Source organism: Homo sapiens, chromosome Y, assembly GCF_000001405.40.
Source record: "Homo sapiens chromosome Y, GRCh38.p14 Primary Assembly".
Classification (NCBI taxonomy): domain Eukaryota; kingdom Metazoa; phylum Chordata; class Mammalia; order Primates; family Hominidae; genus Homo; species Homo sapiens.
The window spans coordinates 8,394,073-8,407,653 of NC_000024.10; the positions used below are offsets into that span (position 1 = coordinate 8,394,073).

At 36.8% G+C, this 13,581-nt stretch overlaps 1 long non-coding RNA gene across 2 annotated transcripts; it reads left to right on the top strand.

The window, feature by feature from the left end:
• The first annotated feature begins 974 nt into the window (after positions 1 to 974).
• LOC105377231 (uncharacterized) lies at positions 975 to 13,242 on the top strand. Of its 2 annotated transcripts, none has more exons than XR_938646.1 (4): positions 975 to 1,060; positions 8,655 to 8,908; positions 9,610 to 9,762; positions 13,055 to 13,242. It is a non-coding gene; the product is annotated as an uncharacterized LOC105377231 (long non-coding RNA). The 2 variants fall into 2 exon arrangements; XR_938647.1 differs by having other exon boundaries at positions 8,655 to 8,898.
• Positions 13,243 to 13,581: the final 339 nt, after the last annotated feature.

Consider the following 13,581-nt stretch of genomic DNA (forward strand, 5'->3'; position numbering starts at 1 on the left):
CAGCAAAGGAGTTTACAGTGTATGAGTTATTATTGTAAACATCTGTGAGCTTTGAACACTATGCAACTCATAACCTTATATATTGCATTAAGCTTACTGATGAGAGACAAAATACCTATGACAGGTGGAATCCCAATTTAAGTTTGATTATCATGCCTGTGAAATGAAGCAACATAAAATTTATAATCCCATTCACAGAAAAATAAACTTGGCAGGAGTGTAGCATAATTTAGCTGCTGTGAATATGTCACAATGCTTTCTCTAGGCAGGGTCTAGTAATGAGGGTTACATTAACTGTGTGCTGGAACCAACAATATGACACAATGCTATATACATATATAAAACAACCCAGACAAATGTTGAGAGCAAAACCCCTAGAGATTTGCCGAAGGTATGTAAAAATACTTTCTGTTGCACTGGCACAGGCAGGAGAGTTATATCATCAGGGTGGGGGGCCCAGCAATATGCCATAATTCTCTCTTTATGCAGGACACAGGTAGAAGAGAAATGTCATCTGTGTACTGGGTCCTGCAATACATCCAACATCCTTTTCATGAGCATGGTTTGGGAAAAAAAAAGAAGAGTCACATTACCCAAGGATTGGGCTTAGCAATATGTCACATCATCCCATTGTAAAGACTCAGGCAGAAGAAAAGAGTCACATCACATAGGACACGGGCCCAGATATATGGCCCAGTGTCCCAAGAAGGCATTGGTCAGGCAGAATAGAAGAGTCATATCATGTAGGTGCTTCCCTAGGTATATGACACAATCTAATATGTGAGTTGAAGCCAGGCAGATGAGTCAAATCAGCTTGATGGTAGGTCTATAGATATGCTGCATGTCTCCTTAAGAAAAGACCCAGGTCAGAGAGCTACAACAAATACTTGCAGGTTCTGACCTTATGTCACAATGCTCCTTGTGGATAGGGCTCCAGCAGGGAGTCACATCACCTAGGTGATAGACCTAGAGACATATCACAGTGTCATCCTTGTGGCATGGTCCTTGTGAAAGAGCTCCATCTCCTGTTTGCCCGGCCTAGCAATATGTCACTATCAAGGTAAGCAGGATCCAAGGTGGACAGCAACATCACCTATGTGATAGGCCCAGAGATTTTTCACAGTGCCCTCTTCAGGACACAGCATTAGCAAAAGAGTACCATCACCTGTGTGTCTGGCCCAGCCATATGTCACTATCTTCCACTGTGTACAAGGCTCATTCTAATGAACAGAGTTATATCACCTAAGTGGTTGAAACAGTGATATGTCACAATTATTCATTTGCATGTTGCTCAGTCAAAAATGTAACATAATCTGGGTGCTGGATCTAGTGATATGTCACGATTCTTACGGAGAGAAAGGCCCAGGCAGGAGAGTCACATCACCTAGAGGCTGGCCCAGGTAGATATCATAATGATATATGTGGGCTGGAACCAGTCTGGGGAGTCAAATCACACAGGTGCTGGGCAAAGATTTATACCACAATCACACTGGCAGAAAATTCCTGAGTTGAGATTTACAATACTACACATGTTCTGTTTTCATGGGTGACAGTTGGCTTTATATATGTGAGAGGGTGACAGTCCTTACTTTCAGCTGGGTGTGCATATGAAACTCATAATTTCACCTTTCTGCTTGGTTCCATTATTACACTCTCTGTACAAACCAAGGGCTTTATAAAATATCTGAGGCTATAATAATCTTCTGTAGCCTCCTTTTCTATCAGAAAGAGATTTAATCACTGATGTTTCTAAAGCAAGTTAGGAAACTCAAAATTACTCCTATTTGTGGGATCTATATATGATGGTCATTATTATTCCTGTGAGCTGTAACTAGTAAATTGTGTGTATCACAATTTACTCTGTGATAACGAAAGAGTTACAACAGCCAAGCCACTTAAATGCTGAGCCAGAAATGCCTATTGTTGTCAGTGTCCAGGCAGAAGAGGAGAGAATATTACCTCAATGATAGGACCAGATATGTTTCAAAATGTCTCCTGTTGAAAGGACTAGGCAAGAGAGTCATATGATTTGAATGGAGTGCTTATAAATGCTACAATCCCCAGTAGTACCAGAGTTCAGGCAGGAGAGGAAAGTCTGGGTAACCTAGATAATGGATGCAGAGACATGTTACATCCTTCCTGAAGGTATTGTTAAGACATGAGAATCTAATCAGCAAGGTGCTCAGCATAGGTGAATGTCTAAATATTATGTGTGGGCTACACCTCAAAAATTGATTAAATCACTGAGAAAGTTGGGTAAAGGTATATGTCACAAAAACACAGGTGGAAAGTTCCAGGAATGGGAATCACCATCATGCATATATCTTGACTCCAGGTTTAAGAGACATGATTAGTCCTCTTATCTTGTCTCAGGCATATGGCACAATATGACCTGTGGGCATACAGAAAGCAGGAACGTCACATCCCCTGGGTGAGTGCTGGTCCAGTGAGATGTCACAATTCTTCTTGTGGGCAAGACCCTGAAAGAAGAGTCACATCACCTGGATGCTGGTTTTAGTGATACATCAAAACTCCCCCTGTGGGCAGGGCATAGGAAGGTGAGGAGACTCACTTCACCTAAGCAATGGGCCTAGATATATATCACAATGGCCGTTATGTGCAGGAGCAAGGTATGAAAGTGACTTCCTCTTGCTTTATTTAGCAATATATCACAATCTCTCCTGTGTTCAGTGTGAGGCAAAAGAGGAGCAACATCACCTAGGTGCTGAGCCAAGTGACATGCTATAAAGCTTCCTATTGTCAGAACCACAAACTCAGAGTAGCATCACCTGGGTGCAGTACTGAGTTATGTGTCACAATGCACCATAAGTGGAGGGCCAAGGCAGAAGAAGGGAGTCACATCACTTACATGATGAACCTAGATACAATCCACAATGCTTTTTATAGACAGGGATTAGGCAAAATTTCACATCACCTAGGTGCTGGTCCAAATGATATATAAAAGTGCTCTTTGTAGGCAGGTCCAGGCAAATTTTCTTAGGTGTATGGTCCACATATCTCACAATTTTATCTGTGGTCATTGCCTAAAAAGGAGAGTAAAGTTATTCAGGAGCTGGGTTAACTTTTATGTCCTAATCACACACTAAGAAATATTCAGAAATACGTTTCAAAGTCCCAAACATGTCCTGGCTTCGTGTATTTCAGTCAACATATCTTGTGAGTTGGGTCAAATCAGAGGAGTCACAATTACAGCAATGGGCAAGATCCACTTATAAGATGTCCAATCACACATGAAGATTGTGTTGCAGTAGGGGAGTCATAGCCTCATAGGTGAAAGTCCTTACTGTCAGCTGAGTGTGATATGAGACTCACAATTTTACCTTTCCTCTAGGTTCTGTTATGCCACTCCATACAAGGCAAGGGCTTTGTAAAGTATCTGAGGCTATTATAATCTTACGAGACCTTTTTACCAGAAAGAGATCAAAGACATTACTCTTGTTTCTAAAGCAAGTTACAAGAATCAAAATTACTCCTATTTGTGGGGTCCACATATGATACTCATTATCAGGTCTGTGAGTTGTGCCTAGGTATATGTCAAAATTTACTCTGTGGTAATGAAAAAGGCCCGACAGCTACATAACCTAAATGCAGAGGCAGGAATTGTTCCAATAGTTTCCTCATAGGCAAGCTCCTGACAGAAAAGCCCTATAACTTTGGAGCTATGCCCAACTGTATGGCACAATGTCCTTTGTGGGCAGTGTCCAGGCTGAAGAGGAGAATCATATAATGTAAATGACAGGCCCCAAGTACGTCACAATGCCTCCTGTTGAAAGGGCGAGGCATGTATGTTTTCTAATTATAGTCATTTTAACTGGAGTGGCTTGGTATCTTATTGTGGCTTTGATTTGCAGTTTTCTATGAATAAATAATGATGAGCATCTTTGCATGAACTTGGTCACTTTTGTCTTCTTTGGAGAAATGTCATTTAAGCTCTCTTGCCTATTATTAAATTTTGTGTTATTTTTGCTGTTAAGTTTGTTGTATATTCTGTATCTTTTCCCTGTGTCATATGTATATTTTGCAAATTATTATTCTATGCTGAAAATTGTCCCTTTACTCTGCTATTTTTGCTATGTAAATATTGTTTAGATTCTGGTGATTTCACTTGTCTGCTTTTGCTTTTGTTGCCTGTGCTTTTGAGGTCCGATTTAAAATATTTTTCCCTCTCCTATTTGGTAAATAATTTCTCCATGTTTTATTCAAATACTTTTATAGGTGTCAGTTTTATATTTAAATCTTTTTTATTTTTATGTAAGTTCTTTTATGGTAACAGGTAGGCACCTAGTTGTTTTCATTTAATCAATTTTCCTTGACACTGTTCATTGAAACTACTGTCTTGCCTTAAATGCATACACTAAACAACTTAAAAATTACTTGGCAATAGGTTTATTAACTGATTATTGTGATCACTGCATACTTTGGTCTATATGTCTGTTTTCCATGCCAATATCATTCTTTCTTGTTATTAGTTTTGTCATATATTTTGAAGTCAGTTAGTCTGATGCTTTCAGCTTTATTTTTTTCACAAAATTTCTTTGGCTATTTGGGAAGTTATTTTGTTCCTTATAAATTTTAGGCCTGCTTTTTCCATTTCTGTGAAAAAAAAAAAGTCATTGGTGTTTTTGTAGGCTTTGCACTGCATCTGTAGATTGCTTTGAGTAGCATAGCCACTTTAATAATATTTTTTATAACTCATGAGCAAAAAAATTGCTAAAATTTTTCATTTTTTTAGTTTCTTCATCAGTGTTGTATAATTTATAGTGTAGAGGGCGGTTTATCTTTTTAATTAAGTTTATGGCTAGCCACCTTTATCTTTTATTTTAGGTGCACTAAAATATTTGGAAAATTTTAACATGCCTTTGTGATTAAAACAACTGAATAAATTAGGTGTAGATAGTATTTACCTCAAAACAATTAAGGTAACATATGAAAAATCAAGACCTGATATCACACTGAACAGAGAAAGAAGAAATCTTTTTATTTAAGATCTAGAACAAGACGATGATGTCTACTTTTACCACTTTTATTGAACAGAGTACTGGAAATCTCAGCCAGATCACTTATGCAAGAGAAAGAAATAAAATACATCCAAATAAAAAAGAGAAAATTTAATTATCTCTGCAGATTACATAATTGTTTATATAGGAAAGTTTAAATACTACACTAAAAAGCTTGAAAACAAAGAAATTTAATAAAGTGGCAGACTACCAAATTAAACTACAATAATTAGTAGTAGCATTTTTACATGCCAAGAATAAGCCATTTGGAAAATAAATTCAAGAAAAAAAATCATTCTCAACAGCTGTAAAATTAAAAGTCTTACTTCATTTTATGTTCATTGTTGTAATGAACCTTACCCCAACATTTTTTATCATTTAGATGTTCAGTGTTCTTCAAGCCATTTGTTAGTCAGACTGTGCCTTTCTCATTCTGAGTGACATAGACAGAAAATAGCCAAGGAAACTTTTAACATTGTGAGTGATAGAGGAGAATGTCAAGGGTCCTGGGCAAAACTCTGCCATCTAAAACAGCTGGAAGCCTGAAAAACTTAAACTGTGGATTTTGGATGAAGCTGGCCATTTTCTGACTCTTTCTCTTTAAGTAATACCCACCTGTGCACTGGGAAAAGAAGGTGGAGCCATGGAAATTCACATTTTTTGAAAGGGGAGAAGCCTGGATTATTCGGTTGCTATGTGGACACCTGGTGTTCACCAATCTGTGTGGTGGGGGCCCGTTAACAGGATAACCTCTCATTTTGCTGACAGTTTTGTTTGTTTGTTTGTTTGTTTCTGTTTCCATTTTGCCCAAAATCTTTTCTCCTCATGCTTCAGTGTGTCCATTATCTTATACCTTCCTGGTCATGTGACAAGTTCATAGTTTTAGCTGAAATAAGGAAAAAGTTCTACAGTTCAGTGTCTACATGTGAGGCTTGAGGAAATGTAAGATGTAAATCAATTTTTTTTTCTCTTTTACTTGTAAGCCTTTTCATCCTTGGACTTCTCCCGAGGGTAGAGGAAACCATGCACCACCCCACCATAACAGCCCAAAGTACATGCGAGATGACAGGTGAATGTCGGCTTTTAACCCCCATCTCTTCTGGGATGTAAAGTGCCAGAAATTTACGATGTCTTCCCCTTCAATGCCCAAGAGATCCAGCCTCATCCAACAGCAATTAAGTTTTTCACTGGGTTGAAGGAACCCTATTACATAAGAATAAAAATTTTCTTCCCTGCCCTACATTTTAGACTTTTTTTTTCACCCTGTCAGCAGTTTATTTTTAAGAAAAAGGCCTTTTTTCTTCTTAGAAGAGGTTTTGCTGGGCTAGGACCCCAGTGATCACTGCTTATATTCTTTGTAGAGTATTAATTTGAAAGGGTATTTGTGATATTGGTCTTGAGCTGCGGCCAATCTGGTGTGCTTTGTATGTCATTCTCTATGTTTGCTATGAAATTTTACTGTAGGCCTCCATCTTGTTGTATGTTTTTAGGACTGTGACCTGTAATCACATGGTGATGTTTCGTTTTGGACTCTGCCATTTTACAATGGTGGCTCAGGTTTAATCTTGGCTTAGGAAGTGAGTGCCTTCTGGTTTCATATCAGCATGTGACTTTTGCCATTTTCAGATTCTCTTTTCCTTCACAAATTGCCTTATATTGTTTTTTTCTGACCACCTGGTAAATTATCTTTAGTAAAGTTGGAAAGCCAGAAATACTGGCTGCTTGGGGCTGGTAGAGTCAGGTAAAAAAAATAATAAAATAATTTTCTTAAAGTGTGCTCAACTTAATTAAAAGTGGATATCCAAATTATAGGCATATTTAAAAGGCCTGTATGTTTTTCTCTTCTGGGATCTTGTTTTGCTGGTAAAAGGTTTTTTCTCCACCAACTGAATTATTTTTCTTTATTATGTCTTGCCATTGTAGTGCATGCATGTCAGAGCAGTAATTTAATCAGAAAATTGGCAAACAAAAAATCTTATGGCTACTGGGTTTTCTTCTGCCTGTATATGTATATATATATGTGTGTTGTGTCTGTGATGTCTATAAAAAGAGCTCTAATAAATTTAATTGAAAAATAAATACAGCCTTAAAAGTGATCGGTAAAACACAAATGTCATCAATATATGAGTAGGTGGACTAAATTATTCAGGTCAGATACTAGGTTTGCTAAATGTTTCAAAATTATAAACTGCTTTTTTTTGAGAACAGTTTAACCTTGCTTCACAATTGGTAAGGCCTGAGGACAAGTGGAATTAACAACATCCTTAATTATGTTGAAAAAAGTGAAACTCTTGGCTACACCTAGCACTTACTTAATAAAATTTACCTGGTTTTATACTAAAGTTAAAATTGTTAGAAATTACCATTACAATATGTAATTGAAACCACTGGAAGTAGATTTACATATGAGGTGTGTAAGAGCAGTAAAATGTGTTTTTAAGAAAAGACTAAAAGTCATGGAAATATAAATTCTTGCCTAGGGTCAAGCAATTGTTTTGAATTACATAAGATAAAGCAAAAAGTTCAAACAAGTTGTAGAAGTCTTGTAAAAATAAATGTTGACAGAGGAATTCTCTGTGTGAATGTTAATTAAATTCAAAAAGGTATTATATGGGTTTTTTGTAAATTGAGCCTTAAAATAAAAGCACACAAGTTACTTTTAAGGCATGTGTCTATTCTTTAGCAAAATTTGTAAAGAATTTATAAAAGCTTTTTGCTTTTTAAATTTGTAAGTCATCATTTTGGTTAAATAAGTAATTTATGGTAATCTGGAATTTTATTTTATAACATCTAGTGTTTTAAACCCCTAACATGTAACATCCTTCTCAAAATCAAACTTTAGTTACAAAATTGTTTTTCCCACCTTGTGGCTTTTGGATGCTAAAGGGAGCCCCTAGAGTATCCACAAGAGAGGTAAACAGGATTATATGGCATGTTTAGTTACATAGAATTGCCAAAATGGTGTTCAATATTCTGTAGATGATATTTTGATGAATAATACTTATACATGTTCAAAAATTGTATGGGATTTCAAAAATTCTAATGTCTGAAGTATATGCTATCAATCAAAGTGAAGATTGTTTAAGATATTGTAAACCACAGAATAAACTGAAATTTTTTGTCAATCTTATTTCTGACTGTAACTACCCTGGGCAATTTGTTATACACAGACAATTGTTGTCTGTTTTGATTTTTTTTATAAAGTGGTTTTTAATCAGCTACAGATCTTTGACAGGTCCTCTCAATTGCAGGTTTCTAATCACTTTGGAGCTTGTGACATTGGAATATAAGAAAAAAGTACAGCATAATGAAGAGCTAAAATGTTCATGAATATCAAACAAAACAAGAGTTAACTGAAAGGGGTGGACTAATAGAAAACTGAAGTATTTTTTCTGACTTTTGATTGTAACATTACTGCTTCTTCTATTGTTTACCAGAGTCAAGGCAACTTATTTTGAGCTATTTACAGCCTTTAACATTTGAGTAAGGTGTACTCCTGTGAACAAAATATAGAATATGTTTGCCTCTCTCTGCCTGGCTTCTCCAGAATTTGAAAAGTAGTTCTGAGTCTTCTAAACTTATGGCAATATAACTGCTTGCATCAGAGCAATAATAATCCATTTTCTTTTCCAACAGGGCACACCTGCAGAAACTGGTTGTTTTACCAAGGACTTGATTGAAAGGGTTTGCTTCCCTTTAAGGAGTCAAGCTCAACTTGCAGAGCCAATAAAAGCCCCTTGGAAAAACAGGACTCATACCTCATCTATACAGTCATAGTGCAGGTTTATCTGTGGAAAGTAAAGAATGACACTTTCTGACAGCCCCAGGGACTCCAACTTTATCTTGGGACCATAAGAGGAGAGAATCACCCAACTCATAAGTATTTAAGGGTAAAACCCATGGCTGGGCTTCACATTAGAAGGTCTTATCTGAAATTTCTTGTTGAACAGAGTTCCATCAAAGCCAATGTAAAAGACCTATGATGAAATAATTCCATGTAATCCACTGAGAAACATTTTTATCCCAACCTCAATTTCAAGCTTCAGGTCAAAGCTCTAGGAAAGATTACTGGATCTGAGAAAATCAGAGGCTGATGATAATGGAGGTTAAAAAACTGTGCAGGTTGACATGACTAATTGGAGCTGATAATGCCAACCCTCCCATTTCATGGATAAGGATTATGCCAGCATCCTTGTCATAAATGAGGTCGAGTGAACTCCAGAACTACTAACAGCAGGGGAGATAGGGCATATGTAGGTAAGAGCAGATAGTTTCCCTCCCCAGATCTCCCTGTTAACATGGATGAAAACTGCCTTGACACCCAGGAGTGGCAAACTGTAACAATTATGGGACTCAGGGGTACAAGGATTGAAAAGGGAAAGAGAATATTCTTTCTCCTATATCTCAACATACCCTGGGTATTTGCTAGGAAGAGAAAGAAACTAGAGACACCTCCTCCTCTCTCTCTTTCTAGATAAGTAGCCATTCATCTTCATTTTATACTTTTTTCAAATGCATCCTGAACCCTTGGAACTCCTTTGAAAAAATGCTTACTTTTTTTCATTTATTCTCCTGTGTATTCTCTTTACAGATAGGTAATCAGGTCTCAATACTGTGGGACACTCTTCTTGGTGCATCCTTTGAATTTGAAAGAGTTAATTTCCCAAACCTTAGACTGGTTTGCTTAGGATTCAACTCAGGAGAAAAGAACCCAGAACCCAGAAAACTGACATGCTCGAAAAGGGTAAGGGTAAAATTTTTGTTGTTCCATTTGGGCTTTTGATCTCCCTTTCCCTATGCAAACTGGTAAAAGACCTAGGAATTTGTGAGCTGTCCTTGCCCCCATTCCCCTTGTTTCATTTTAATACATTTTTAAAAAATAACCCAGTTTGATTCTTCTCACCTTCAGGCTATGAAACTCCAAACAGTCATGCAGCAATAGGCTTGGACAATGGCACTTTTAACTGGGGACACTTAGGCCTCTTAGGGAGTTCTGACTGCCATTTTTTTTTTAAACCAAAGCCCCCAGTCAGCAGGAAGCACTTAAAAGTGGTTTTTGTCTTCATGCTTATCGTTATTCCAACCACAGTAAGATGTACTTATTTAGTGGGGAAATAACAGAGTTAGGGAACAGCCAAGGGTCTTGGGTGAAACCCCGCCTTCAAGCCTAAAACAGCCTGCAGGCTGAAAACTGAGACTGCTGGTCTCAGAAAAAGCCTGCCTTTTTCAAACTGATTCTCTCTGAATAATGTCCACCTGCATACTGGGGGAAGAGAGTGGAGCCACGGAAAGCTCAGGCCTTGTACATAGAGGAGGATCTGGGACTCTTCACTTCCTGTGTGATGGTCTGGTGTTCAGCAATCTGGGAGGAGAGGCCCTGTAAACAGAACTCCCACTCACTTTTTTGAGAGTTGTTTTTTTTTTCTTCCTTTATTTTACTCAATCAACTCTACTCCTCATCCTTCAGAGTGTCCCTGACCTAATGTTTCCTAGTCATGTGACAAGAACCCAATTTTACTGAAGTAAGGAGAAAGTTTTGCAATGTGAGGATTTGGAACCCCCGTTTAAGATAAGTTGACTGTATCTGGCTTCCCTTACTGTTTCAGAATTTATTTTTCTATCTATGCCAGCATCACTCTTTTGATTATTATAACTTTGCAAAATGTTTTGAAATAAAAAGGAATTATGCCTCTGAGTTTATTCTTATTTCCAGGCTGTTTGACTACTTGTGGTTTTCTGAGTGTTTATAGAAACTACAGGGCAATATTTATTGTCTCACTATGTGATCCCAGAACTGTGGAAAGCCAAAGTAGGTGGATTGCTGTAGCCCAGGAGTTTGAGACCAGCCTGGGAAATATGGTGAAACACTGTCTCTACAAAAAACATAAAAACTTGCTGAGCATGATGGCATGCACCTGCAGTCCCAGCTACTTGTGAGGCTGAGGTGGGAGGATCAATTGAACTTGAGAGTTCAAGGCTCAGTGAGCCATGATTATGACATGGCACTCCAGGCTGGATGACACAGCAAAATATTGATTCAAACATTTTAGAGCATTTTAGTACTTCTCCAGAAAGAACCACTGTTATTTTTTAAAAAGAGATCTCATTGATTTGTAGATCATTTTGAATACCTTTAACATCTAAAGAAACTTGCATGTTTTAACTCTTGAAAAATACTATGCTCAAGAATTGGTCTAGTTTTCATATATATGCAGATGTGCTGTTTTCTTTTTGTTTTTAACTTCCCATTATATTACTGTGGACAGAAATAATACCTTTCGTGATTGCCGTCTGTTTAAATATGCTGAAATGTGCATCTAGCATAGAAGTTTGCCTATCTGACAAAACATGTTGTACGTAATTATAAATATAATGTTTTATGCTGTTGTTGGGTGAAATGTTTTGTAGATTATGCCCACAGCTTATTTCTTTATCCTTTTATTTCTCTGTATATTTGTCTTTATCTCCATTTTGTTTATTTTATTTATTTACTTTGTTTTTATTAATAATTTAATTTCACTTCTATTTTTTATTTTATTTTTCTTATTATAGTCCCTTCATTTCAAATTTTCTCCAATTTGTATCTTGTTTGTAATATTTTATTTATTGTTTTGTTTTTATTAATTTATTTTCATTCATGTCCCTTCATATTATTTTATTTCCTTTTTTAATTTTATTTTTAGTTTTCTCCTCATTCTTGCATTTTTCTTGTTTTATTATGTTGCTAATTATTTCTGTTTATTTCTCTTAATTTATTTTATTTATTATCTTCATCTTTTTATTTATTTTTCCTGATCTTAATTACATTTTTTTCCTTATTTTCTCTATTTTATTTTAGTTTATTTACCATTACTATGTTTTACTTCAAATTTATTTTTAATTTTTATTTTATTTTTCTTTATTTCATTTTTTTAACTTTATTTTTTGTTTTACAAAACAGAAGAGATGAGCTATTTTAAACTGACCCAGCCAGCGTGGTCAAGACTCAAGTTTGCTGAGACTCTATGGTAGCCACTCTACCCCAGGAGTCTCCAGTCTAGGGTATAGTCAGTGACTCCTGGCAGGATTGCTAAAACACCTGCGCAGATCTTTTATTGTTACAGGCCTATCTAGTATTCAGAGTCACAGGCCATTTCTGCTACTTTCAGAAGCCCCATGCAAGCCTCAGTGTAGCTGGGCTGAGGCCATGACTATGTCTTTATTTGTGTCCCAGTGAATCCTCCCCACATAATCCAGGGTGCTGACTCTTCTTCCTTTTTTCCTGAACAGGCTCCACAACCACTCAACTCCACCCATGCATGTCTTGACCATATGTGTGTCTTTTTCTTGTTGAAAAAGGACAAAAATTGTTTTCTTTTGTTTTGAGACAGAATCTTGCTATATTGCCCAGGCTTCAGTGCAGTGGTGTGATCTCAGCATACACAGCTATTTCTTTCTTTCTTTTTTTTTTTTGTATTTTTAGTAGAGATGATGTTTCACCATATTCACTTCACTGGTTTCAATCCACAGACCACAAGTGATTCACCCCCCTCAGCACCCCAAAATGTTACAATTACAGGTGTAAGCCACTGAGTTTAGCTGATACTTTATTTTATTTTATTTTAACTTGACATTTAACTGAATTATGAAAATATCAGCTTTATGGGTAGATATACATGCAAATAGGTACAAAAATGCTAATGATGTGAGAAGTTTAACATTTCTTCACTTTCTTTAATGATTTTATGGAGTTACTATTTTACATTCTCCTGTCTTTATCTCTATGTTCAGTTAGAAAATCCTCAGTGAATACTTTTCAGTATGATAGACAAAATGTTGTGCAATCGATCATTGATAGATGCACACTGAAGTAATTTCTGGTTTTCATTTGGAGCTTTTACACCTAGGAATGAAAACTGTTGCTTGTAAACTCACATAATATGGAGTTATACTATGCTGTCCTCTTCTGCACATTTGTCTACCATCACAGTTTGAATGTGCCACTGAAAAAAGGTGGGAAATTGTTTCCCTCAGACCTACTCATCTTCCTTTTATAGGTTTTCAGGTGGTGCATTGTCCAGATTGCTTAGAAGCTCATGATCACAGAGGTCATATTTGACAAGAGAAAGCACTGTTGCACCAGGACTAAGTGAAGGTGATTACCACCCCATGCCTAAGGCTTCTCCAGAGCCAGGATGGAGCTTAAAAACCATTACTGAAGCCAGAAAGTGATGACAGAAGTTGAGGGCTGCCCACAGGAGAAAGCAAAATCCTCCCTTTTGCTTTCCAAGTGTTCACTGTTTATTTGGTCATTAATGTTCCTTCTGACCATGATGTGTTTCTTGTTCATCTTTCCTGGTATTCCACTGAAAGTGCGTCTAAGGAAATGAGCCCTGGATGATAGTGATAAAGAGAACAACTGCATCCTTCTATAGATGATGCCTTGGTGAGCTTTGAAGCACATTGAGCAGATCCTGAAATCCTTCCTTAGTATGGGACAAGTTTTGTCAAATTCAACTTCCATGTAAATGGTACTAGGTTCAAGATGTCAAAGAAGAGACTCAGAGTTAATAAATGGGATATG